At 39.6% G+C, this 25,037-nt stretch overlaps 1 long non-coding RNA gene across 5 annotated transcripts in view; it reads left to right on the forward strand.

The window, feature by feature from the left end:
- The window catches only part of LOC105374914 (uncharacterized), a 91,755-nt gene that overhangs the window by 46,015 nt on the left and 20,703 nt on the right, over positions 1-25,037 (forward strand). Inside the window, exon 3 of one of the 5 annotated variants that reach the window (XR_001743954.1) lies at positions 1,157-2,350. The exons of the other annotated variants lie outside the window; for them this stretch is intronic. This is a non-coding gene — a long non-coding RNA (uncharacterized LOC105374914). Of the gene's footprint in view, positions 1-1,156; positions 2,351-25,037 lie in introns of those variants that run through there. 5 annotated transcript variants of the gene reach the window in all.

Below are 25,037 nucleotides of genomic sequence, written 5' to 3' on the forward strand. Positions count from 1 at the left end.
CCCTTCCAGTATGGAAAACTAAAACTATCTGCAAACGTTACCAGTGTTCCCTGGGGAGCAAAATCACCTTCTGATTGAGAATGATTGGTTAAGAGGATTAGATAAGTGTTTCCAGAGGAAACAATATTTGAGCTGAAATATGATTAGGAAGTGCAATGAAGGAAGCAGTGCCTTCCCAGCTCCCCAGCCAGTGTAATAGCATCTTATAGTGGTATAAAAAGAGACATTGTATAGGTTTTGAAAACAGCAGAGGTGTTAGAAATTCATCACCAACATTTACAAGCTGTATGGTTTTTGATTAGGCACTCAATCTTTCTGAACCTTAGAATCATCTTCCATGAAATAGGGATATTAACACTATAGTGGAATAGTTATTTTTTATTGTTACCTCAAATATTCTCCTTCCCTCTTCCACAGCCCAGGTATAATGAAAAGATTTAATTCATGCTGAGGAAAGTGGTTACAGTAGAACCTGCAAATGCAGATGTTCAATTTTTGACTTCTAAGTTCTAGAAAACTATCCAGGAATAAGATAAAAACATATTTAAAAGAGTGCTTGAAGAGTTTGAACCAGTTTAAAAGAGTGCTTGAAGAATTTGAACGAGACCTTGTGGAAGGGAATGGGGGTCAAGTCTTTTTGAAGAGGAAGGCAAGAGGGAAGTCAATATGGGGTCTTCATACACCATTCTTGTATCATTAACCAACTCCTAGATGACATTCAGTGATTAGTAAGAGTTTTTTTTGTTTTTTTTTTGTTTTTTTTTTCACTGAACACCTACTCTGGAGATGTCCAGGTGAGCAGAAGAAGACAGAGACCCTGCCTTCAGAGAGCTTACATTTAAGCATAGACAGGAGCTGGATCTCACTTCCTAGAGTGTCCCTTTGGAAGTCCACTAGCCTTGGTGGGCAGGGCAGTTGCCTGGAGCCATCTTGGAGCAGCACAGCAGAAATGAGCAGTGAGCCCAAGATGCAAATTTCCTGCTGTTGCAGAGCGGTGTGTGATTTCTCATGGGCTCCAGGCACTGAAATTTTCTGATGTGAGACAGGTCAGGGAAGAGACTCAGTCCTGGCAGACACAAGACAAGGTCACTAAGATCCCAATGGGCCTCACATGTCCGCCATGTTCCATCCCATGTTTTCTTGCCTCCCTTAACAGGCTGACCCAAGTTATGTAGCAGAAAGGAGGCCTCTCTCAACTTAGCTGACCAGCCTGAATTCCTAACCATAAAAAGAAGAACCTCACCATTTATCTCCTTGAAGTCGTGTCTTCCAAGGCTGTTGAAGCAGAACTCTAGCATTCCTTAAGGACTTCATCATCTTTCAAGGTTGCTAAAGGGAGACTTTGGTGTTTCTGATAAGAACCGAACCAGATGCAGCCAGCTGAAGATAAGATGGACTCTAGAACTGACCTTTCATCAACTTTTTTTCTTATTATAATACTAAAATCTCTGCCAAAGGTGGAGCTAATCTGCCGCTCTCAGATCACTCTATGTCAGTTAGGGCGTAATGTCTCATTGCACAAGCTCTAAGAAAACCCCTAAACATGCTTGCACATCACTCCTTTTTCTGCCTCTACTTCTTTAAGATGACTAGAGCTGGGCCCTTTGGGGAAGGAGCATCAGGACCCCTCCCCTGTATGCTGCTCCCTGGCACATCTCCAGTCGCAAGCCTATTAAACCTTGCCTAGGAAAATTGGTTTGTCCTGGAGCTAATTTTTACTTAGAGAGAGCCAAGGAACTTGAGGTCCAGTTGCAACAACAAATAAGCAAGTCAGTGGACCTTCCTGGATTCTCACAGCCTGCGTGGAAGAACATACTTCCTAGGATGCAGTGTGAACAGTCATCACTGGTAGTCATGAAGGGTATGACTGACATCTCTGTGGACGTCCCATTTCCAGGGAGCAGGTGGGAGCTGCGTCACTTCCATCTGTTAGCCAGGGGACCTGCCAAAGGTGCATCCTCCAGGATGTGGCATGTGGTGGGTCTGAGCCGAGGTCCAGCTGCTGAGGGCAGCCACTGAAATAGCCAGCATAGACCTTGAGCAGGCTACATCAGTAAATAGATGGATCCCAATTCAGTGGATTTGTATTGCAGCTGGATAGCCTCCTCACCCCTCTCTCCCCACCCCACACTTTGCATATAAGCTCATCAACACCCCCATGAGAAATGGGAGAAATAACCCGTGATGCTGGAACATAAAGGTTAAGTTTTGTACCTTTTAAACCTGTGACAGGAGTTCTTATAAAAAAAAGATAATGTACACCTATCCCTCACCTAATGGCTTTTATTTGTACCTGAAAGCTCTGTCATTAAGTGCAAAGCCAGTAAACAAAAGACAAATATAATTTGTTTTTTTGAGATGGAGTTTTGCTCTCCCCACCCAGGCTGGAGTACACTGGCACGATCTCGGCTCACTGCAACCTCCACCTCCCAGGTTCAAGCAATTCTCCTGCCTCAGCCTCCTGAGCAGCTGGAATTACAGGTGTGCGCCACCATGCCCAGCTAATTTTTGTATTTTCAGTAGAGTCAGGGTTTCACCATGTTGCCCAGGCTGGTCTCAAACTCCTGACCTCAGGTCATCCACCCTCCTCAGCCTCCCAAAGTGCTGGGATTACAGGCATGAGCCAGCTCGCCCGGCCAACAAATAGAATTTTTTAAAATGCGGTATTTTATACAAAAAAATTGTGGCATAATCCATCCTAACCTTAGGCTCCCAATGATTTTCATATATAGAAAAATATATCAATTAAACAACCAAAATACATTGTATACGCTGTTTGAAAGTAAGTAAAGTTTACGTATATAACATAACATAATGAAAGTTTGTGATACTCTTTTTTTTCTTCTTTCAGCATTCTCTATCTACTTTTCAATCTTTGTGAGGCTCTTGGTATGTTGCACTAAAACTACACTTGAAAAGAAAGAGCATAAAAAACATCCTTAGGGCAAAATAAAGGATGAACGAGAGAGCACTTTGAAAGAAGTGGAAATTGTACAATCATACAATATACCTTAGAGTCCAGAAGATGCAGCTGTCCTCCTCACTCTCAGGGCACATTTGCAAGCAACACATTTGCCCAAACACTGGTGGACAATTCAAAGTTGTTTCATATAGTTTTTCATTCTAGAAACTATTGTGTAAGGGAAATTAGTAAATGTGTTTTTGCCCAAAACTGAAACATTAGAAGTATTACTTGTCACTATCATTTATTTAGGGAGTATGACTGTTGTTATTATTACTTTATTTTATTTTTGAGTCGGAGTTTCACTCTTGTTGCCCAGGCTGGAGTGCAATGGTGCGATCTCTGCTCACTGCAACCTCCACCTCCTGGGTTCAAGAGATCCTCCTGCCTCAGCCTCCCAAGTAGCTGGGATTACAGTTGTCCGCCACTACCCCCAGCTAATGTTTGTATTTTTAGTAGAGACAGAGTTTCACCATGTTGGCCAGGCTGGTCTCGATCTCCTGACCTCAGGTGATCCATCTGCCTCGGCCTCCCAAAGTGCTGGGATTACAGGCATGCACCACTGCTCCCAGCCGATTTTTTTAAAGGTCTGAAAAGTGATATAATCTTTCTTTTAAGGTGAAAATATTGTGTTAAAAGAAAGACCTTAGACAAATTACATTTAACAGAATTTAACAAAGCCAAAAGCACAATTCATGAATTGGGCAGTTCCTAAACCAGAATAGGCTCAGTGAGACTTTGCCGCTGCCACGTGGTCTAAGTAGATTTATAGACAGTAAAAGGAAAGCAGTGCACAGAACATGGAAGTGAGGTACAGAAACAGCTGAATTGGTTACAGCTCAGCATTTGCCTTATTTGAACACAGTTTGAACAGTTGCTGTTGCCTGCCTGCAACTGGCTGAACTCTGTGGTTGGTAGGAGAATAAGTTACAGAAAGTTTACACATCCAGTTAGGTTACCTTTATAGTTCTCTGTGTATGGAGAAATCTTTAGGCTAGACTTAAAATATATTAGGAGGCAGGTTTAGACTAAACAATTAAATAGGTGTTAAAGTCTTTATTTAAGGTGAGTCTATATACCATATGCATGATACATAGGAGACACTCTATAATAGTATTTGTTATTATTGTTTTCCTCCTGTCCTTGAGATTCCCCGACCCCCTTTCTTTCTAATCTACACTCTTTACCAGTGAGACCTCAATCATGTCCATGACCTGCTCTCTGTTAATGACTCTGGTTTTCAAATTTCCTACTTCCTGGTGCTTCGAGTTAAGCAATAACTCAATGATTTTTTTTTTTTTTTTTGAGATGAGTTGCATTCTGTCACTCACCACCCAGGCTGGAGTGCAGTGGCCAGATCTCGGCTCACTGCAACCTCCATCTCCTGGGTTCAAGCAATTGTCCTGCCTCAGCCTCCCGAGTTGCTGGGACTACAGGTACGCGCCACCATGCCCAGCTAATTTTTGTATTTTTAGTAGAGACAGGGTTTCGCCATGTTGGCCAAGCTGGTCTCAAACTCCTGACCTCAGGTGATCCACCTGTCTCAGCCTAATTCAATGATTTTTAATATATAATTTTTTACTCCACCAAAATTTCCCTTCCTCCTTGCACTAAAGGCATCAAATTTCATCCAAAAAATGAGACTAGTCATCTTGGAGTCATCTTCTACCTCCTTCCTTTTATCTCCCTTGATCAATTGGATTATTTCACTTTTTGATGCCTCAGTTCATCTTTTGAAAGCCACGAGTAACAGTAGTTATTGTTTATATCTTTATGACCTATCTGATAGATCATAAAGATTAAATGAGTACATGCATTAAAAAACAAAAACTTCAGCACAGTGTGCAGGCAGATAGCCCTTATTAATATGTCACGTCCTCTCCTCCTTTCCACCCCTGTTGACTAAACAGATACTAGAAAAGCAGATTTTGAGAATTGTCTATTTATATCCTTAGCCCACTTTTTGACGGGATTGTTTGTTTTTTTCTTAGTGATTTGTCTGAGTTCATTGTAGAATACAAATGGCCAAGAAACACATGAAAAAATGCCCAACATCACTAACGATCAGGGAAATGCAAATCAAAACCACAATGCAATACCACCTTATTCCTGCAAGAATGGCCATAATGAATAAATAAAAAATACAGTAGATGTTGGTGTGGATGCGGTGAACAGGGAACACTTCTACACTGCTGGTGGGAATGTAAATTGGTACAGCCACTGTGGAAAACAGTGTGGAGATTCCTTAATTAACAAAAAGTAGAATTCCCATTTGATCCAGCAATCCCACTACTGGGTATCTACTGAGAGAAAAAGAAGTCATTATTTGAAAAAGATACTTGCACATGCATGTTTATAGTAGCACAATTCACAATTGCAAAATCATGGAACCAACTCAAATACCCATCAATCAAAGAGTGGATAAAGAAACAGTGATATATCTCTATCTCTGTCTGTCTGTCTGTCTGTCTGTCTGTCTGTCTGTCTATGATGGAATACTACTCAGCCATAAAAAGGAATGAATTAACAGCATTTGCAATGACCTGGATGAGATTGGAGACTATTATTCTAAGTGAAGGAACTCAGGAATGGAAAACTCAATATTACATGTTCTCACTGATATGTGGGAGCTAAGCTATGAGGATGCAAAGGCATAAGAATGACACAATGGACTTTGGGGACTTGGGGAAAGAGTGGGAGGGGGACGAGGGATAAAAGGCAACAAATATGGTGTAGTGTATCCTGCTCGGGTGATGGGTGCACCAGGATCTCACAGATCACCACTAAATAACTTACTCATGTAACCAAATACCACCTGTACCCCAATAACTTATGGAAAAATAAAATAATAATGAAAGAAAAGCTGATTCTTTGAAAGGATCTTTTCCCAATCTACTTTTCAAACCCCAGACTTCTTTGTTTTTTGCAAAGTGAAAGCAAGTTTATTAAGAAAGTAAAGGAATAAAAGAATGGCTACTCCATAGACAGAGCAGCCTCAAGCCCCAGACTTCTAATAAACATTCCCATTCATTCTTTGTCTTTGTCAAAATGGACATCTTTCTGTCTCTGACCTTTTCTATTTCATTATTTCTGCTTCATACTCTTTTGAAATGCCCTTACCCTGGCTGTCAAAATCTTACTCAGTCTTTAGGGACAAAATAAATGCCACCTTTTCCAGGAAATTTGTTGAGGTTCAAGTCAGAATTCATTATGCTCTCCTTCACTAGAATTAAGCTTTATGTTGTTCTTTTTGGTTAATATTTATCACATTATTTTTTATAGTTAGTTGAATAAATGTGTTTTATCTAATAGATTATAAATTGCTTGCAGGAGCATTATATTTTAGACTTGAATTTTACCATTAACATCTATTATTATGGTGTCTTTCTTTTAGAAAAGACTCAATTAATATTTATTAAGTAGCATTATAATTATTTTTAGTGACTCTTGGCATAACACAAATTTTCTCAACTTTTAATTTTTATTAATAAAAGGAACTAATGAGAATTTTACACTTGATCTTAGCCAAAAGGCCGAAAAGCGATGAGAATTTTAGAATATCTGCATTGCATAGAAAGTTTGAAAAAATACAGAGGATAATAAAAAAGTATCATTGTTAAATAAATATTTGTATAAACAGGGTGTCTCAAAAGGCTTAGTACAATTTTAAGTTTTAATATTCTCATATATGTAAATGCTACAAATTAACAAAAGCATTACTTAAAAGTATGGTTATTTAAATCTCTTTAGATTATTAATTTGGTGAATATAGAATGATAAACTTCAATGTATGTTTTCAGTTCCTCTAATTAAGGAGAGCAAACATTAATTGAAGTAAAAAAATTAAAATTAAAAATATGTTATTTGCGGCCAGGCCCAGTGGCTCACACCTGTAATCCCAGCTCTTTGGGAGGCCGAGATGGGCGGATCATGAGGTCAGGAGATTGAGACCATCCTGGCTAACACGGTGAAACCCCATCTCTACTAAAAATACAAGCAAAAAAATTAGCCGGGCGTGGTGGTGGGCGCCTGTAGTCCCAGCTACTCGGGAGGCTGAGGCTGGAGAATGGCATGAACCTGGGAGGCAGAGCTTGTAGTGAGCTGAGATTGTGCCACTGCACTCCAGCCTGGGCGACACGAGAGACTCTGTCTCAAAAAAAAAAAAATAAATAAATAAATAAAAATATGTATATATATATATATATATATATACATACATATATGTATATATATATGTGTGTATATATATATATATACATATATATATATATACATATATATATATATATATATATATATGTTATTTGCCCCAGTAACAACAAGAACACCCAATATTCAGATCAGAATCTAATACTACTATCCAATAAAAAGAACCAGGGATCGAGGTAGAAATGAAATGACTGTTTCTAAGGCAGGAATAAGGAATATACCAGATAAGCTTGGAGCTTCTTGTAGTACCGGGAGATAGGGATGTACTAAAATAAAACCCAGTGATGGAGTGGGGTCAGGAGCATGTCAAAGAGACACAGAAGCCAATTGCAGAGCTCCCAATGGCCAAAGATGAACAACTTTGAGCAAGAAAATGAATATCATATCCAAAGTATAAAATAAATATTTATCATGCAAAAGAATTTCAGTTAATTTATGTGGATAGTCACCCCTCAAGAAAGTGGAGCATAAACTTCTCCTCCCGTAAGTGTGGGCTGTCTATAGTGATATCTTCCAAAGAGAGAGGTAAGGAAAGGGAAGAGGGGCAGGTAGTAACTTTACAGTGGAGAAACCTGACAAACACTACTTCAGTGACATGGTTGGATGGGATCCTGGAAAAGAAAAAGGAAATTAGGGAAAAAATAAGGAAATCTAAATACACTATGGACCCTAAGTAATAACAATGTATCAATATTGCTTCATCAGTGGTAACAAATATTCCGTACTAATTTAAGTTTCTAATATGGGACACTGGCTGTAGGGTATTCAGAATTCTCTGTATTAGTTTTGCAATTTTTCTGTAAATCTGAAGCTATTCTAAAATTAAACATTTGCTAAAAAATAAGAGGGTATTATAAAAATTACCAAAAAATGATAATTTAGACGAAGTGGACAATTCCTGGAAAAATACAAAGACTGCTTGCCTAACAAAAGCAACAACAAATGTATAATTCAAAATTCACAAAACTACAAAAAGTAAAATAAATAGTCATTTAAAAATGTAAAAACAATTGGTAGTACCTATTCTTCTGGGGCTATTAAAGCATAAAATTGCCTACAGACTTCTGTGGGTAATTTGTATTTATGTGCCCATAAACATATTAATAATATGAAAATGGCATAAAAATAAATATAGTTATGATAACGATGTATAATACATTTATTGGTTTATTGTTTTTTCCTTTAATATTTTCTCATGAACCCTATTCAATTGTACATTTCTCACAACAATTTAAAACAATGACAAGACTTCATTTTATTTGTTGATATTTTTATTCATTGTTAAATATTTAGAGTAACTATTTTTAAAATAATTTTGATAAAGTTTTCATAAATGTAATGATTCCCATCAATGACTTACTATTACCATTGTAGTGGTACTACAGTGTGTGGTCATTTCAGGTTTGTGATGCACATTGACAGCTTGTTTCCTGATGTTGTCCCAACTACATTCCTACTGGCAGAATATGAGTGAGCCAGTAGGGCAGGGTAAAAAATGCTCCTCACAGCTTGCAGTGAGCCGAGATCCCGCCACTGCACTCCAGCCTGGGCGACAGAGCGAGACTCCGTCTCAAAAAAAAAAAAAAAAAAAAAAAAAAAAAAAATGCTCCTCACCCTAAAGATACATATGTCCTAATTCCTAGAATCTGTCACTGTCACCTTTTGTGGAAAAATGGTCTTTACAGGTGTGATTAAGTCAACAATCTTGAGATGAGAAGATTATCCTACATTATACATGTGCTCACTAAAATAATCACAAGCTTCCTTACAAGAGGGAGGTAGAGGGAGACTTGACTTCAGACAGAAAAGGAGAAGGCAGTGTGACACAGAGGCAGAGACTGGAGTGATGTAGCCACAAGCCAAGCAATGTCGGCAGCTGACAAAAGATGGAAAGGGCGAGAATGAATTCTTTGCTAGAACCTCCAGCGCAAGTGTGTCCCTGCTCAAAAGACATCATTTTTCAGAGAGTTTACTTGTCATGATATTAAGTTTATCCATACATTTATGAAGAACTGACATCTTGACATGCTATGTCCCAATTTATTCAAACTTCCTTTCTTCTGAATCTATTTATAACATAGATAAGCGGATGCAGTAAGCCCAGGAAAAGCTAAAAATAAAGAAGTAATTTTAAAAAATAAGCAGGTTTGTGATGTTCTGATTTGGGAGGGATAGCCAGAGCTCAGTGAGATGAGAAAATCTTGGTAAAGAGAAATAGCCCTACGTAAGAAACTATGAAGTGCTGATGAGGACATTGGAACAGAATTGTAGTGGGAAATGCCTGGTCTTCCAGAGATGCAGGGTCACTGGTATTAGGAGTATCTCTCAGCAAATTTATAAACATTTATTAAAATAAAAATAAATCCATAAAAATGCATCTACTTCAGATGAAAATATTGGAAAAAGGGGGTGTGGGAGAAAAAAATGATTGATTGGCTTCTTACATCAAAGTTTATGAGCCTTAAGGGAACCAGTGTTGGGAGAATTGCAAGAGGGTGGCCTAGATCAAAGGGAGATTTGTTTTTATCCGTCAGTGACCTGGCGAAGAAATACTAATTACGACCATGAAGTAACTCCATGGTATATCTTGTGGCCCTGTGACTGTTTTTGAGAAGAGAAAGGAGGGCAGGGCAGCTGGCAAGGAGATTAAAGTCAGTAGAAAATAATAAATTGAATTTGTGAACTTTCTGAAAGTTAAATGAGAATAGAACAAAATGATTTTGCAATAATGGTTACAAAATGTCCTATAAATTAAACAGCAAAGTCACCATATTCCTTTCCTAGAAGAAGAAGTGCGAACACAAGGGTCTGGGGATAGGTAATTACAGTAAACACATGTGAATGATGCAGGGTTAAACTTTATTTATTTATTTATTTTTTAAATCTTACACCCCAAAAGGAAATGAAGTTTGCTGAGAATCAGTTGAAACTGGCAGAGCTCTGGCACTTTGGAGATCATTAATGGCCATCTCCCAGCTTACAACACCCTCTGATCTGATGATGCTGCCCAAGCTGTGCCCAGGAGAGCAATGCTTTTAGTTTCTTTCAGCCTAATTATGAAGGTGCCTGGCCCATGCAGTGAAGTAATATAATGGATAATAAAGCTCCCCGAGAGTCCTGATATAAGTATAGTGCAACAAGTCGAATGAACTAATGAAAACCTGGGAAGCTTCACGAACAAAACCCTGAAAAGCTAATGTCTAAGGCAATGAGAAGGAATGCACTGTGATGCGTGCATGCCAAAACCACAATTCTAAAGGATGGAGGAGCTCAGGACTGACCTTCTATGAGAGACAAGACTACTGAATTATTTACACTGCAGGAATGCACCAGGAAATGATTTCATCCATCAAGGAGTATGTTTCTGGTGATCACTTTATTGGTCCAGGTAGAAATAGTTGGATATTCACACCCACAGAATAGTGATCAACCAACCAGAAAACAGAAAGGGTGGATGAACCTCCCTAATTCATCACGAGGGCATGTTTCAGACTTTGGAGATGAAAAGTTGGAGCAAGGTAGAAAGTTGTGTTTATTAGAACACGAAGCTGCATCAGGCTTCCTACTGTCACTCAGACGCTAGATGGGGAGCTTCCTTACTCTTCACTGCTAAGACTGATTCAAACCCTTTATTTCAAAGCGTATGCTCAAGATTTCTCGAGGAGTTCACATGGTTTCCTCTGCTGCTTGGGTATCTGAGTGTAAAATGATGCACCTATGCACTTAGGTGATGCTGTACGTAGCACACCTACCCAGAAATGAAACAAATCCCCACCTGTTTTCAAAGGTAAACAGGAGATTCTCTCATTCTGTCTCTCTCTCTCATGCTTACCCTTGCTCTCACTCCCTGTCTCCTCTCTTTCTCTCTTACGCAAACATAAACACATACACACACACACACACAAACCTGTGTACACAAACCTGCTTTATTTTAATAATCATGATTGAAGAGCTGGGGAGCATTAGCAAATGATCACACCGCACAGAACTCTGCAGGAAGCAAGGTAAAAATGTCAGTGAGACATCCATGTTTTCTGAGCCATCCTCCTCCTGATTTTGAGGTTCCTAATTTAGCCTTTCTCCCAGTCAGCACCCAGGATCATCTTTACCCTTCATGTCCCTACAGCTCTGGATTGTCCTTGATGAACAATTAACCCTCTCTTGCTCTTAAAACTGAAACATATAAACTACCAGGTGCTTAGCAGACTACAGTTCTTTCCAATTAGAATTCACATTTTAGCCAGGCGTGGTGGCTCACGCCTGTCATCCCAGAATTTTGGGAGACTGAGGCAGGCGGATTACTTGAGGTCAGGAGGTCGAGACCAGCCTGGCCAACGTGGTGAAACCCCATCTCTGCTAAAAATACAAAAATTAGTCTGGTGTGGTGGTGCATGCCTGTAATCCCATCTACTCGTGAGGCTGAGGCAGGAGAATCCTTGAACCCAGGAGGCGGAGACTGCAGTGAGCTGAGATTGAGCCACTGCACTCCAGCCTGAGCAACACAGCAAGACTCCACCTCAATAATAATAAAAAAATTCACACTTTATTTTTTTCCGTAAATATCTATTAGGTGTCATTCTGTGCCAGTCACTATGATAAGTATAGGGGAAATAGAAAGATCAAGTTGCAATTTCCATTTGTAATGATCTTAGAATGTGTTGCAAAGAAATAGAAGAAACAATTAAAATACAATGGAAAATTTTCTAAGGTGTGGAGAGGTCTTGCGGGAAGAAAACCTGAGTTGACCCAGTGAATTGTAGATAATCTTGCACATGAAGAGCCATCTAAACTTTGGCTTTGGGTGAGTAGCAGTTTCCCTGGTGCTCAACGGGAGAAGAACTTTCCATATAGAGGGAAGACCAGAAAGCAATGGCAAAAAAAAAAAAAAAAAGAAAAAAGAAAGTACTAGAGAGAAAAATATGGCAAGAGGCAGAGTTTGATGTGAACTATGAGGCTATTAGAAGTCAGAAGAGAAGAAGTTTGAATTGCAACCTTTAAGGCCTTGCAGAATATTGAAAAATATCAAGCCTGAAAGTTGCATAATCAGATACACATCTAACAGACATCACTCTATGGTCATTGAAGGAAGTCTGTAGATAGGACTAGAAAGAAGGGGAATGAGTGTAGAGAGGCAGGAGCACAGTTAGGTATTTGTTCCAGTAATTCAAGCAAGAAATAGAAGAGACCAGGAATAAGGAAGAGTGAGTTGAGATGAGACTGGGTGGTATATGAAATATTTTAGGAGACCGATGTTTTGTGTTATTTTTTAATAAATGAAAAGACAAGAGGAAGAAGCTAGGAAAATTCTTAGATTTCTGACGTCAGTAACAGGATTGAGAGTGGTCCTGGCCACCAATCCGGGAAATTTAAGAGTGAAATTAGACTTAAAGTGCTGAGAAGGGAATGAGTGTGGTTTTGCAAATTTGAGTTTGAACTATCCGTGCAGATGACTAGAAACAAGGTGACATTTGTTACTTCCTAAGATTTAAAATCTAATTCATCCAAGGTTACATGTCATTTAATGGTGGGACTCAAAACCTGCTCTCCCTTACCCTAAATTTGTGATTGGTGCATTATTACTGAGTACGACTTCTAGCTTTGTGTATCTGTCTATAGGTGCAATAATGTGCATGGACAGTCACATTTGTTATATCAAGTTCACCTCTGATTTCTGTAAAAAGACTACCAAATGGTGGGTTCAGACATCAGTGATGAAGCAAGGATGAGCTAACTGGCTTCGGATAACAGTGAACCTGTGACCTTGACTTCATAAACTCCATTTCTAATAAGCCAAACTGAGACCACTGACAGGTGTCATGTAATATATGAGAAAGAGCAATTCATTCGAAGGAAGAAACTGAGACCTAGGTTCTGGATTTCAACATGTTTTTAAGAGATGAAGACAGAGAAGGCAGGAAACTCCCTAGAATTCCATTGCCTTGTAAAGCTGAATCGAACAGAATATTCCAAGTAAGACTAACACAATGTCTGTCCTCTCCAATAAGAAGAAAAGTTGTCAATGTAAAGTGTAGTATTCTCTGTTTACCTGTGTGTGTGATAACATTTTATTTAGAGATACACTTGATGCTAAAGAAAACTAACCATGGGTTCTGGTGAAAGACCAAGTATTTCTGAATGTTACCAGAGGTCTCTCAATTTGTTGCTGAAGCTGGATTTAGAATAGAAGGACTTGTTCTAGAATATTTACATCATGTATGTAAAAAAGACTCAGTTGAAGGAGCTAATGGCGAAAAGATTTAGAGCTTCACTCTGATACCTCCCAGCCCTCCACATGCCTGATTTGCTCCCTTAGCTGCTCCTTGGAGTACAAACCTGGAATTAGACTTTAGCATTTCAATGCAGTCGCTTCTTTGTCTCTGACGAGTAACTCACTGATGAACTCATCCACTTCCCTTATTCTCCTCATGAGACAAAATTTCATACTAGACAAAAGGGCATTATCCTTTGTATTTTTCTTTTTTTATTAAGGAAAACACTATGACCTATTTTTAAAGTCCCACTTCAAATATAATATATTTTTACAAATCTTTCAAACAGATGAGATTTTGCTCAGCTCCAAAACTCTGAGTTTGCTTTTTTTAAAAAACACAGTTGTCTGTCAATATATTTCATCATGCCTCTCCTTTTGGAGTGCAAGCTCCATGAAACCAGAAAATGGATTTCATTCATTTTCATATGCGCTGCGGTAGTCAGCTTATTGTTTTTATGGAATAAATAATGCTACTTGTTCATTTAAAGCACATTAAATTCTCCTTTAAAGTAGGGATAAGGAGCAGGGGGTAATTATTCATTTAACTTTAGTTACCTCATTTACAAAATAGAAACAATTCCCATTTAGGCAGGGCTGGACGAGAGACGGGCTGAAAATATGTGAAAGGGCTTTGTGTAATAAAGAGAACCACGCATATCTAATAAATTGTTATTTAATCATACAGCTTTTCTAGTTATGTCATCATATAGGAAATGAAGTACAAATGAATCTCCACGTCTTTAATTCTCAATGAACTTATTTTTATGAATCATAAAACCTGAAACAATTACCCAATATGGCTTTAAGAATCACAGAAATTTACTTGACAGAGTACTAAATTGAGTCAGAAGACTATGTGGCCAAATACGTAAGAAAAAAATGTTGCAGTGGCCTACAATTAGAACATGGATACAAATATGCTTTTATTATTATTTTTAAAAAATTTTCTTTTTTAGAGATGGTGTCTCATTCTGTTGCCCAAGCTGAAGTGCAGTGACTCGATCACAGCTCACTGCAGCCTTGAACTCCAGGGCTCAAGAAATCCTCCCATATTAGCCTCCCGAGCAGTTGGGAGTACAGGCAAGAAAGATGGGATCTTGCCGTCTTGCCAAGGCTGGTCTTGAACTCCTGAGCTTAAGTGATCCTCGCCTTGACCTCCCAAAGTGCTAGGTATTATTCCTTTAAAACCAACTTTGATAAATGACTTTTTGCTAAAAATTATATTTTCTTAAAAATATTAAATGCTAGGCTTCCCCACAGGGTTCTAAATGCTACCGTATATAATTTTATCTAGTAAATACAAGTAAGATGACTGTTTCAATGTATAATTTTTATTGGACTGAACACTCTGTCTAGTTCTTCCAATTCCTTCTCTAAGGTTTGTAGAATTATTTCAGCACAATATAGCAAAAGCCTATCCAAGAGTTTTAGAGTTCTCACTACCTCTGCCAATATTATGAAAAGAAAATGTTTCAAGAGATTATTTAACAGAACCTTTTTAAAATATTTTAAAATGTATCTTGCTATATTGCCTACATATAAGTACATAATCTTGGGCAAATATTTTATGTTATGCTCATCTTTCTTATTATATTACTATCATCTTTGAAAGGATATTATATGGTTATATTATATAAATAAATGGCCATTTTACATTAAATAAGTTAGGTAGAGAAACAAGAACTACAGCTGGATGTAAATACCTGTTGATTTTGTTAATCATATACTTTCAAGAAGTTTGGGTAGATTAATTTTTTCCAAGAGCTGGAATAAAAAGTGTTGTCATCCAGACACTCATGAACTATTTATACATCATCCCTAACTAATGAAATGAACTGCATAGTTAAAATGTTGTCTACCAGCCGGGCGTGGTGGCTCATGCCTGTAATCTCAGCACTTTAGGAGGCCAAGGGGGGCAGATCACGAGGTCAAGAGATCGAGACCATCCTGGCTAACACGGTGAAACCCTGTCTCTACTAAAAATACAAAAAATTAGCCGGGCATGGTGACGGGCACCTGTAGTCCCAGCTACTTGGGAGGTTGAGGCAGGAGAATGGCGTGAACCCAGGAGGCGGAGCTTGCAGTGAGCCGAGATCGCGCCACTGCACTCCAGCCTGGGCAACAGAGCGAGACTGCGTCTCAAAAAAAAAAGTGTTGTCTATCAAATATCAACATTTGACTTATGTTTAACTATCTATGATGATAATATTTCTAAAATAGAGTACATATACATTTAAATTCAACCATGAACAGTCCTTATGGGACGGACACTAGGCTGGGTTGTGTGATGCAATGGTAACTAAAATGGCAATTTGCCCTCTAGGAACACAGGCCTAATGTGTTTATATCTTCTTAGAAGGCTATGTTTTGTTGTTTTATTTTTTGAGACCCAGGTCCATCATTAAGAGCATGATTGAACCAAGCAGCAACATATGAATTATTGGCTCAATACCTGTGAGGCCTGGAGCAAGATCTTAAATATCTTAAAGATAGCTGCCTCCAGGGCCTTGAGCACAGACATTAAACCACTGTCTCCATTCTCTGGCTTTGCTTGGCTCCATTCCCCATGCAAGCTGTCTACGCCTGGCAGACAAAGCAACAACCACAGGCTCACATCCTCCTAGATTAGCCACTCCAGCAAGAATTGGAAGTCTTGCTCCTGACACTTATGGATCAATCCCAGAAATTTCCCTCTACATGAATTACTTGTCTTTGTATAAAGCAATTATTGCAGTTGGGGCCTACCCTTGTAGGGGAGTAGAAAATAGTCTGAGAAACTCAATCACAACCACATGGGGTTGGAGAATAATTTCTGAAAGGAGCAAGAAGAAAGAGGTTCTGAAAGCAAGCTGGGCAATAAAGCATCCCAAACTTGCCTGACCCTCTTTGGAAGCCAAGAGGTGAAACCCAGCAGACAGTGAGTTACTCTTTACTAAGTCAAGAGGTTTAATAGACTTGCATTTCTTTATATCTTACATTTTTACACCTTAAATTAAGAGCAGCAAAAGTCTTAACAAAATTCACAGCAGAACCCCCAAGCAGAGGCCCAGGTCATTTGGAGCCAGTTATTTCTTCTCTATTGCCCCCTCCCTTCTGTGTCTCTGGGAATGTCCAATCCCATACCTCAGAGCCTGGCGTGGACCTTCCCACATCCACTGTCTTTCCACCAACACTTCCCCATTGTGATTTTCATTGTCTGGCATTGCCCTGATGCTATGGGCCATCATCTTACTTGAGCTTGTCAACATTGAGAAAAAGGATTTTCTAAACTGAATGATTTCTTGGAATTAAACTTGAGTGTCTACATTTCCTTGAACTCAGCTAAAATGGATTGTAATCTCCATTTCACACGCCAGGGGACACGTTCAGCTTTAGCCCTGGTTTCCCAACCCTACTTTTTCATTGCTTTTTTCTTCAAATTTAGTTCCTCGTTTGTTCTTGGCATAATTTTCATGTGGCGTCATATGTTAGAAGAAGCATTAACGTCGGCTTCAACCCATCTAACTCTAGTGAAAGTCCAGTGTCTACTTTTTATTATTTCTGTTTCTTCCTTCAGCATTCATACCTGTCTCTTTTGCATCTCCTGTTATTAGCGTGTTTTTCTCTAGAATTTTCTGCTCTGCCTTTGCTACTTGTAGTATCTGGTAGACCTGAATACCAACAATCAAGAGTATTAATATAGTAACAAATTTCAGCTTTGTATACAAATACTTGTGAGTTAACACTGCAGTCAGGCAGGTAGGAATTTCTGGAGAATTATTCTCTCAAGGAGGAGGAGGAAAACCCTATAATTGGCTTTGTTTCAGACAGTCTCTGAGGACTCCATGATTTATAAAGTCATGCATATGCATTTTCTTTAAGCTCTGGTGACTGCTAAATTACTCTTGAATTTAATCTGTCTTCCAGCCTAGCTCTTATCTTCTAGGATTCTGAGGAACTAGCTGGTCATCAGTAAACTTGGTGAGTAGCTTGCTAATGTGTCCCATGGATTCTGGGTCACCAAATTTGTCTTGGGTTATGGTCTTGCTCTGCTTTTCTCAGTGTCCAGAGAACTGTTTGCTATGAAGATATTTCTCCTCAGACCATTGCGGGCCATACTGTTTTTTAGTGGGTCACAGCCAGAAACTTGACGTTAGGAAGGTACGACTACAGACTTTTCTTGATTCCCTATTGCCACAGACTGGTAGTAACAAAAGAAACTCAAATTACCCAAAGGATGATATAGCATATCCTTTTCCAGAAATAAAAAAGTAAAAATAATGGTTAAATATCACCTTCTACTAAAGAATTTGATTGCCAGAATTTTAGAACATTGTGCTATTGGTATACAGTATTTTCATTTCTCTTGAAGTAGTATTTGTGTATACAGAAATGTGGTACTTAAAAATAAAGTTTAATTTAATTATTAAATATTATTTAATTTATTAATTATCTTTTGTTTTTGAGACGAAGTCTTGTTCTGTCACCCAAGATGGAGTGCAGTCGCGTGATCTCAGCTCACTGCAACTTCTGCCTCCCGGGTTCAAACAATTCTCCTGTCTCAGCCTCCCCAGTAGCTGGGATTACCGGCATGCACCACCACACCTGGCTAATTTTTGTATTTTTAGTAGAGAGGGGGTTTTGCCATGTTGGCCAGGCTGGTCTCCAACTCCTGACCGCAGGTGATCCGCCCACCTTGGCCTCCCAAAGTGCTAGGATTACAGGCGTGAGCCACTGTGCCCAGCTGAAATATTGAGAGGTGACAGCGTGCTGGCAGTCCTCACAGCCCTAGCTCGCTCTCGGCGCCTCCTCTGCCTGGGCTCCCACTTTGGCGGCACTTGAGGAGCCCTTCAGCCCACCGCTGCGCTGTGGGAGCCCCTTTCTGGGCCGGCCAATACCGGAGCCGGCTCCCTCAGCTTGCAGGGAGGCGTGGAGGGAGAGGCGCGAGCGGGAACCGGGGCTGCGCGCGGCTCTTGCGGGCCAGCTGGAGTTCCGGGTGGGCGTGGGCTTGGCGGGCCCCGCACTCGGAGCAGCCGGGCCCTGGGCAGTGAGGGGATTAGCACCCGGGCCAGCGGCTGCGGAGGGTGTACTGGGCCCCCAGCAGTGCCAGCCCACCGGCGCTGCGCTCGATTTCTCGCCGGGGCCTTAGCCGCCTTCCCGTGGAGCAGGGCTCGGGACCTGCAGCCCGCCGTGCCTGAGCCTCCCACCCCCTCGGTGGGCTCCTGTGCGGCCCGAGCCTCCCCGATGAGCGCCGCCCCCTGCTCCATGGCGCTCAGTCCCATCGACCACCCAAGGGCTGAGGAGTGCCGGCGCACGGCGCGGGACTGGCAGGCAGCTCCACCTGCAGCCCCCGTGCGGGACCCACTGGGTGAAGCCAGCTGGGCTCCTGAGTCTGGTGGGGACGTGGAGAACCTTTATGTCTAGCTCAGGGATTGTAAATACGCCAATCTGCACCCTGTGTCTAGCTCAGGGTTTGTGAATGCACCAGTGGACACTCTATATCTAGCTACTCTGGTGGGGCCTTGGCGAACTTTTATGTCTAGCTCAGGGATTGTAAATATACCAATCAGCACCCTGTATCTAGCTCAAGGTTTGTAAACACACCAATCAACACCCTGTGTCTAGCTCAGGGTTTGTGAATGCACCAGTCGACACTCTGTATCTAGCTACTCCAGTGGGGCCTTGGAGAACCTTTGTGTGGACACTCTATAGCTAATCTGGTGGGGATGTGGAGAACCTTTGTGTCTAGCTCAGGGATTGTAAACGCACCAATCAGCGCCCTGTCAAAACAGACCACTGGGCTCTACCAATCAGCAGGATGTGGGTGGGGCCAGATAAGAGAATAAAAGCAGGCTGCCGAGCCGGCAGAGGCAACCCAGTTGGATCTCCTTCCATACTGTGGAAGCCTGGAACTTTCACTTTGTAATAAATTTCGTTACTGTTGCTATTTGGGTCCACATCTGCCTTTATGAGCTGTAACACTCACTGAGGAGGTCTGCAGCTTCATTTCTGTAAGGCAGCCAGACCAGGAGCCCGCCGGGAAGAACGAACAACGCCAGTCGCGCCACCTTAAGAGCTGTAACACACGTGGAAGGTCTGTAGCTTCACTTCTGAGCCGGCGAAACCACAAACCCACCAGAAGGAAGAAACTCCGAACACATCTGAATATCAGAAGGCACAAACCCACCAGAAGGAAGAAACTCTGAACACATCTGAATATCAGAAGGCACAAACTCTGGACACCACCTTTAAAAACTGTTAATGCTCACTGCGAGGGTCCGTGGTGTCATTTCTTGACGTCAGTGAGACCAAGAACCCACCAATTCCGGACACATTTAATTTAAAAAGATTTTAATTCTAAGTTTATAACCCATTATCTTTACTCTCCAAAATAAATGCTCCAGTTTTTTATTGCTGTATAACATCTTCTGTGGCTTAAAACAGTAATAATTTTTATTTCTCATCTTTTCTCTAGGTGAGAAATTTTAGAAAGAACCAGCTAAGCAGTTGTGGCTTGGAATTTCTTAACACGTTAAGAGACAGAGCAACTGTAGCTGGAACAGAGGTGATTGGAGGAAGTATTGGGACAGTTGGAGACTGATCATCTTTTTCTTTCATGTAGTCTCAGAATCCAGCCATATGGACTCCACATGGTCTAGACTGAGCTTCCCAACAGCAAGGTAGCCTCAGGGCTGACAAACTGCTTACGTGGCCAATCAAGACTTTAAGAACAGGCACACCAGCTAGCAAGGTAGAGGCTGCAGCACCTTTGGTCAGCTAGCCTTGTGAGGCTCATACATCACTTCTGCTCTCCTCTATTGGTAGCAATAGTGATCAAACGATGCCCAGTTTCAAGAAGAGGCGGCATACACCACACCTCTCTGCAATGGATGTCAAAGAATTTGCAGATGTTTTGAAACTGACATAATTGAAACAATTATGGTTATCTCACACACTTGCCTAAATAATGAATACCATATTTCCCATAAATGCAAATATTTAACAAACATGTATTAAGCATTTCTTGAGTCACAGATGCTGTGGGTAAAAAAGATGAACACATAGTCAGCCCCCGAATGTTTTATTTCCTAATGAGAGAGAAAGACATAAATTGGTAGTACTACTGCATGAGAGACGCCTGCATTGTGATGGCACAGGGAGACGGGGAGCGGGGGTGCCGGAAAGAAAGTTCATGCATCCTGGAGGAATTAACCTTGAATTGAATCCCAAAAGATGGGTGGTGACTGGTTGTCTGTTCAGAGAGTGGGACCAGAAAAAAAGGCACGAAAAAGTGAAGTGTGTGTGTGTGTGTGTGTGTGTGTGTGTGTGTGTAGACCCAAGCGGGGTGTTTTTGTGGCATATGTTTGTGGCAAGGAATGTCAGAAAGTGAGGGTGGAGACAAGGCTAGATAATGAAGAGCTCATGGCTCAGGGAACCTAGCTAGAGCATCTCTTGAAACTCATGGGGAATTGTGGAAAGATTTAAAGCACAAGAGTGATATAATCCCATTTGTTCAGGCAGCTAGGGAGAAATGCAGAGTTAAGGACAGCAACAAAAAGATACTGTGTAGGGAACCAGCTGGAAAATTCTTGCAATAACTCTGGTGATAAATATTGGAGTAAATAAAAGTAGCAATAAGGAGGATGGTACAAATATCTTAAATACCAAGTCAAGTCTAGATAACTTAATGATTAATTGGCTGTGGGACCTGTACATACACAAAGGATTAAAACGGTGACTACTGTAAGATACTAGTAGGAGAAAGAGTATATGGTCACTAACTTTGAAGAAGCAGAAGGGGTTCTGGGAAAGATGAGTTAAGTTTTGCTCACATGGAGTTTGATGGTCCTTTGAGACTTCGGAGCCATATAGGATACCAAATATAAATAATAACAACTGGGGTTTGTACTTGGTGTAGACATCACTTTTCATAGCAGTGTGAAACTTTAGTGACATTTATCTAGTAATCCTGCAGGTCCTGGCCAGGCATCCACCTCCGAGATTCTTGCCAAGAATCCACCCACAGGTTCCCCACACAAGATTTCAATGCATGGCTTAATAAACTGCACGTCAGCAACACTAAAGAAAGACACAAACAAAAGGATAATATCAACAGATACAGATCAAGATAAGGCACTCTAGTGGGTGGTATTACTATTTTTCCTCACGTTAGGAAAATAGTAGTAGCTTCCATAGTACAAAAATATTTTGTACAGTCTATCAAGGGTGAAGTTTTTCCATTTTATATGCCAAAGTCTATGTGTGTGAACTAAACTCTGAATGGGTTCTCTTACTAAAACTTCAGTCGGGAGATAATTTTTCCATTGATGATATAAGCAAAGGTGTTTAACAAATAACATTTGATTTTGAAAACTATAACTTGATTATAATATTACATTTTTCCTCATTCATTTATTTAATGACTTCAAAAGCATCACAGATTGTTGCTGCTTATGTGTATATAATTAGAATAACAGAAGGTGATATAATGAACAAGGAATAAATGAATTTGAAGTAATAATGGCTGAAAAATATCCAAAATTAAGACTGACACCAATGCACAGATCCAGGAAGGTCAGACAATACTAAGGTATATCATACTCAACTTTCAGAAAACCTAGGAAAAAAGAAAATCATGAAGAAAGACATGGGGGGAAACCAACCATTACCTATAAAGAAACAAGGATAAGAATTACAGCTGATTTTTTTTAAATCAGAAGAAAAGGAAGGAGTGAAATCTTTAAATTGTTTCAAAATATATCTGCAAATTCTTTGACATCCCTTGCAGTGGTGTGGTGTATGCCTACTTCAGTGGACTTTCATTTTCAGTGGACTTTCAAATATTTAACCAACATTTATTAAGCATTTCTTCAGTGGACTTTCATTTTCCCCCAGTTGTCATGTTGCTATCATTATATGATTTACTTCTGCTTCTGCATATTTTAAACCTCATAACAAATTGCTAGCATTTTTCTTTGCTATAGACAATAATCTTAAGATGACTCAAAATTTTTAAAATGGCTTTTAGATTTACCCACAATTTTACGATTTCTGAAGATCTTCATTCCTTTGTGTAGATCTGCTTATTTGATATCATTTTCTTTCTACCTAAATAACTTCTTTTAACCTTTCTTGTAGTACAGGTCTGCTCACAATAAATTTTTTCAGCTTTTCTTTGTCAAAAAATCATTTATTTAGCCTTCATTTTTGCAAGATATTTTCAAGAGTTATCAAATTCTAGGTGACAATTTTCTTTGAGTATTTTAAAGATCTCTCCTTGGTCTTCTTGCTTGCACAATTTCTGACAAGCAGTCTCTTCTCATTTGGATCTTTCTTCCTCTGCATGTAGCGTGTCCTTATCTCTGGCTGACTTTGAGATTTTCTTTTTACCTGGGATTGTCAGCAGTTTGACTATGAGGTGTACCTACCTGAGTTTTTCGTATTCTCATTGCCTGTGTTTCCCTAAGCTTCTTGTTCTGTGATACATTCTCTTTCATTGCATTTGCTTAAATCTTTCTTTTTCTTTAATTTTTTTAGTTGTTCTCAAATTTACAGTATACATTTTAAATATTTAAATCCATCATCAAATAACATTATATTATTAAGGGTATAATACAGTTACCTTATAACAATATTACCAATTTCTCCCTCCCATCCCTTAAGGCATTGCTGTCATTAATACTATAATCACCTAATGCATTGTTACTTCTGTTCCTTTAAATAGTAATTTTTCTGATAAGAATAAGAAAAAATTGAAAATTAATTTTTATTTAGTCTTTCTCTGACATTTTTCTTTTCTTTATGTCAGTCTAAGTTTATGACCTATAGTATTTTTCTTCTACCTTAAGTACTTCTCATATTTCTTACAGTACAGGTCTCCTGGAAATTAATTTGTTCAGTTTTGGCTTGACTGAGAATATATTTATTCTTAATTTTTGAAGGTTAATTTCCCTGGGTGTAGAATTCTAGACTGACAATTACTTTCTTTAACAATGTAAGGATTGCACTCCTTCCTTTTCTTGCTTACATGGTTTCTGATTTAAAAAAAATATCAGCTGTAATTCTTATCCTTGTTTCTTTATAGGTAAAGGTGGGTTTTCCCCCTGTGTCTTTCTTCATGATTTTCTTTTTTCCTAGATTTTCTGCAAGTTGAGTATGAAACGCCTTAGTATTGTCTGACCTTCCTGGGTCTGTGGATTGGTGTCGGTGTTAATTTTGGATGGTTTTCAGCCATTATTACTTCAAATTTGTTTATTCTTTATTCATTATTTCTCCTTCTGTTATTCTATTTACATACACATAACGTTTTGACATTGTCCCACAGTTTTGAGGTGTTCTGGGTTTTTAAATTATTTTTTCTCTCTGTATTAATGTTTGGGCAGTTTTTGTAGTGCCTCCTTCAATTTCCCTAATTCTCTCCTCAGCTGCATCAAGTCTTCTGATAAGCTGCTGAAGGCATTCTTTATTTCTCTTACTGTGCCTTTTATTTCTAGGATTTCCTTTGGATTTTTTATATTGCCCATATTGCTGCTGACATCAACCATTTGGTCTTGCATAGGGTCTACTGTTTGCATTAGATACCGTAACATGTTGATCACAGTTATTTTAAATTCCTTGATAATTCCAATACCTGTGTCATATTTGAGTTTAGTTCTGTTGATTGCTTTGTTTCTTCAGACCACTTTTTATCTCACCTTTTGGTATGCCTTGTAATGTTTTGTTGAAAGCCAGATATGGTGCATCAGTGACAGGTTCTGAAGTAAACAGGCCTTCGGTGTGAGGATGTTAACCTAACTAGGAGCTGGGCTGGGTTTACGGTTTTTATTGTCAGGTACCTGAGGCTTCAAATTCCTTTAGTGTCCCTGTTTTTCTTTCCTCCCTTGTCTCTGGGGCTTTGTATTGCACTGTTCCTCAGAGAGCTTGTGTCTTGCCACTGGAGTCTTGGTATGGTAGAAGAATGTAAGAAAGGAGATGAGTCCAATCATATTTAGATTAAGTTTTGGTCTTTTTTCCATATAAAATAGTGTTTACTATAATGTACATTTTACCATTGAGAAAATGGAGTGGGTGAATCCAATCACTTTGATATGATTTGGCTGTGTCCCCATCCAAATCTCATTTTGAATTCCCACATGTTGTGGGAGGGACCTGGTGGGAGGTAACTGAATCATGGGGGAAGTCTTTCCCATGCTGTCCTTGCGATAGTGAATAAGTCTCACGAGATGTGAGGACTTTACAAAGAGGAGTTCCCCTGCACAAGCTCGCGCTGTTTGCTGCCATCCAGGTAAAGCATGACTTGCCCCTCCTTGCCTTCTGCCATGATTGTGAGGCCTCCCCAGCCATGTGGAACTGTAAGTCCATTAAACCTCTTTCTTTTATAAATTGCCCAGTCTCAGGTATGTCTTTATCAGCAGCATGAAAACAGACTAATACACACTTACATCAGGTCACATGAAATTAAGGTTGAAGCAGGTTTGGAATCCAAACATCAGACTCCAGGGTTTAAGCTCTTAGCATTGACAAGAGCTTGTCTCACAGTTTCTAAGGTAATTGCTGGTATTTAAGTAAATAAGTCTGGTTCTATATTATGCATCTGTCATTTTCAGGAATAAGAAG

The sequence above is a fragment of the Homo sapiens genome, chromosome 6 (assembly GCF_000001405.40).
Source record: "Homo sapiens chromosome 6, GRCh38.p14 Primary Assembly".
Lineage (NCBI taxonomy): Eukaryota > Metazoa > Chordata > Mammalia > Primates > Hominidae > Homo > Homo sapiens.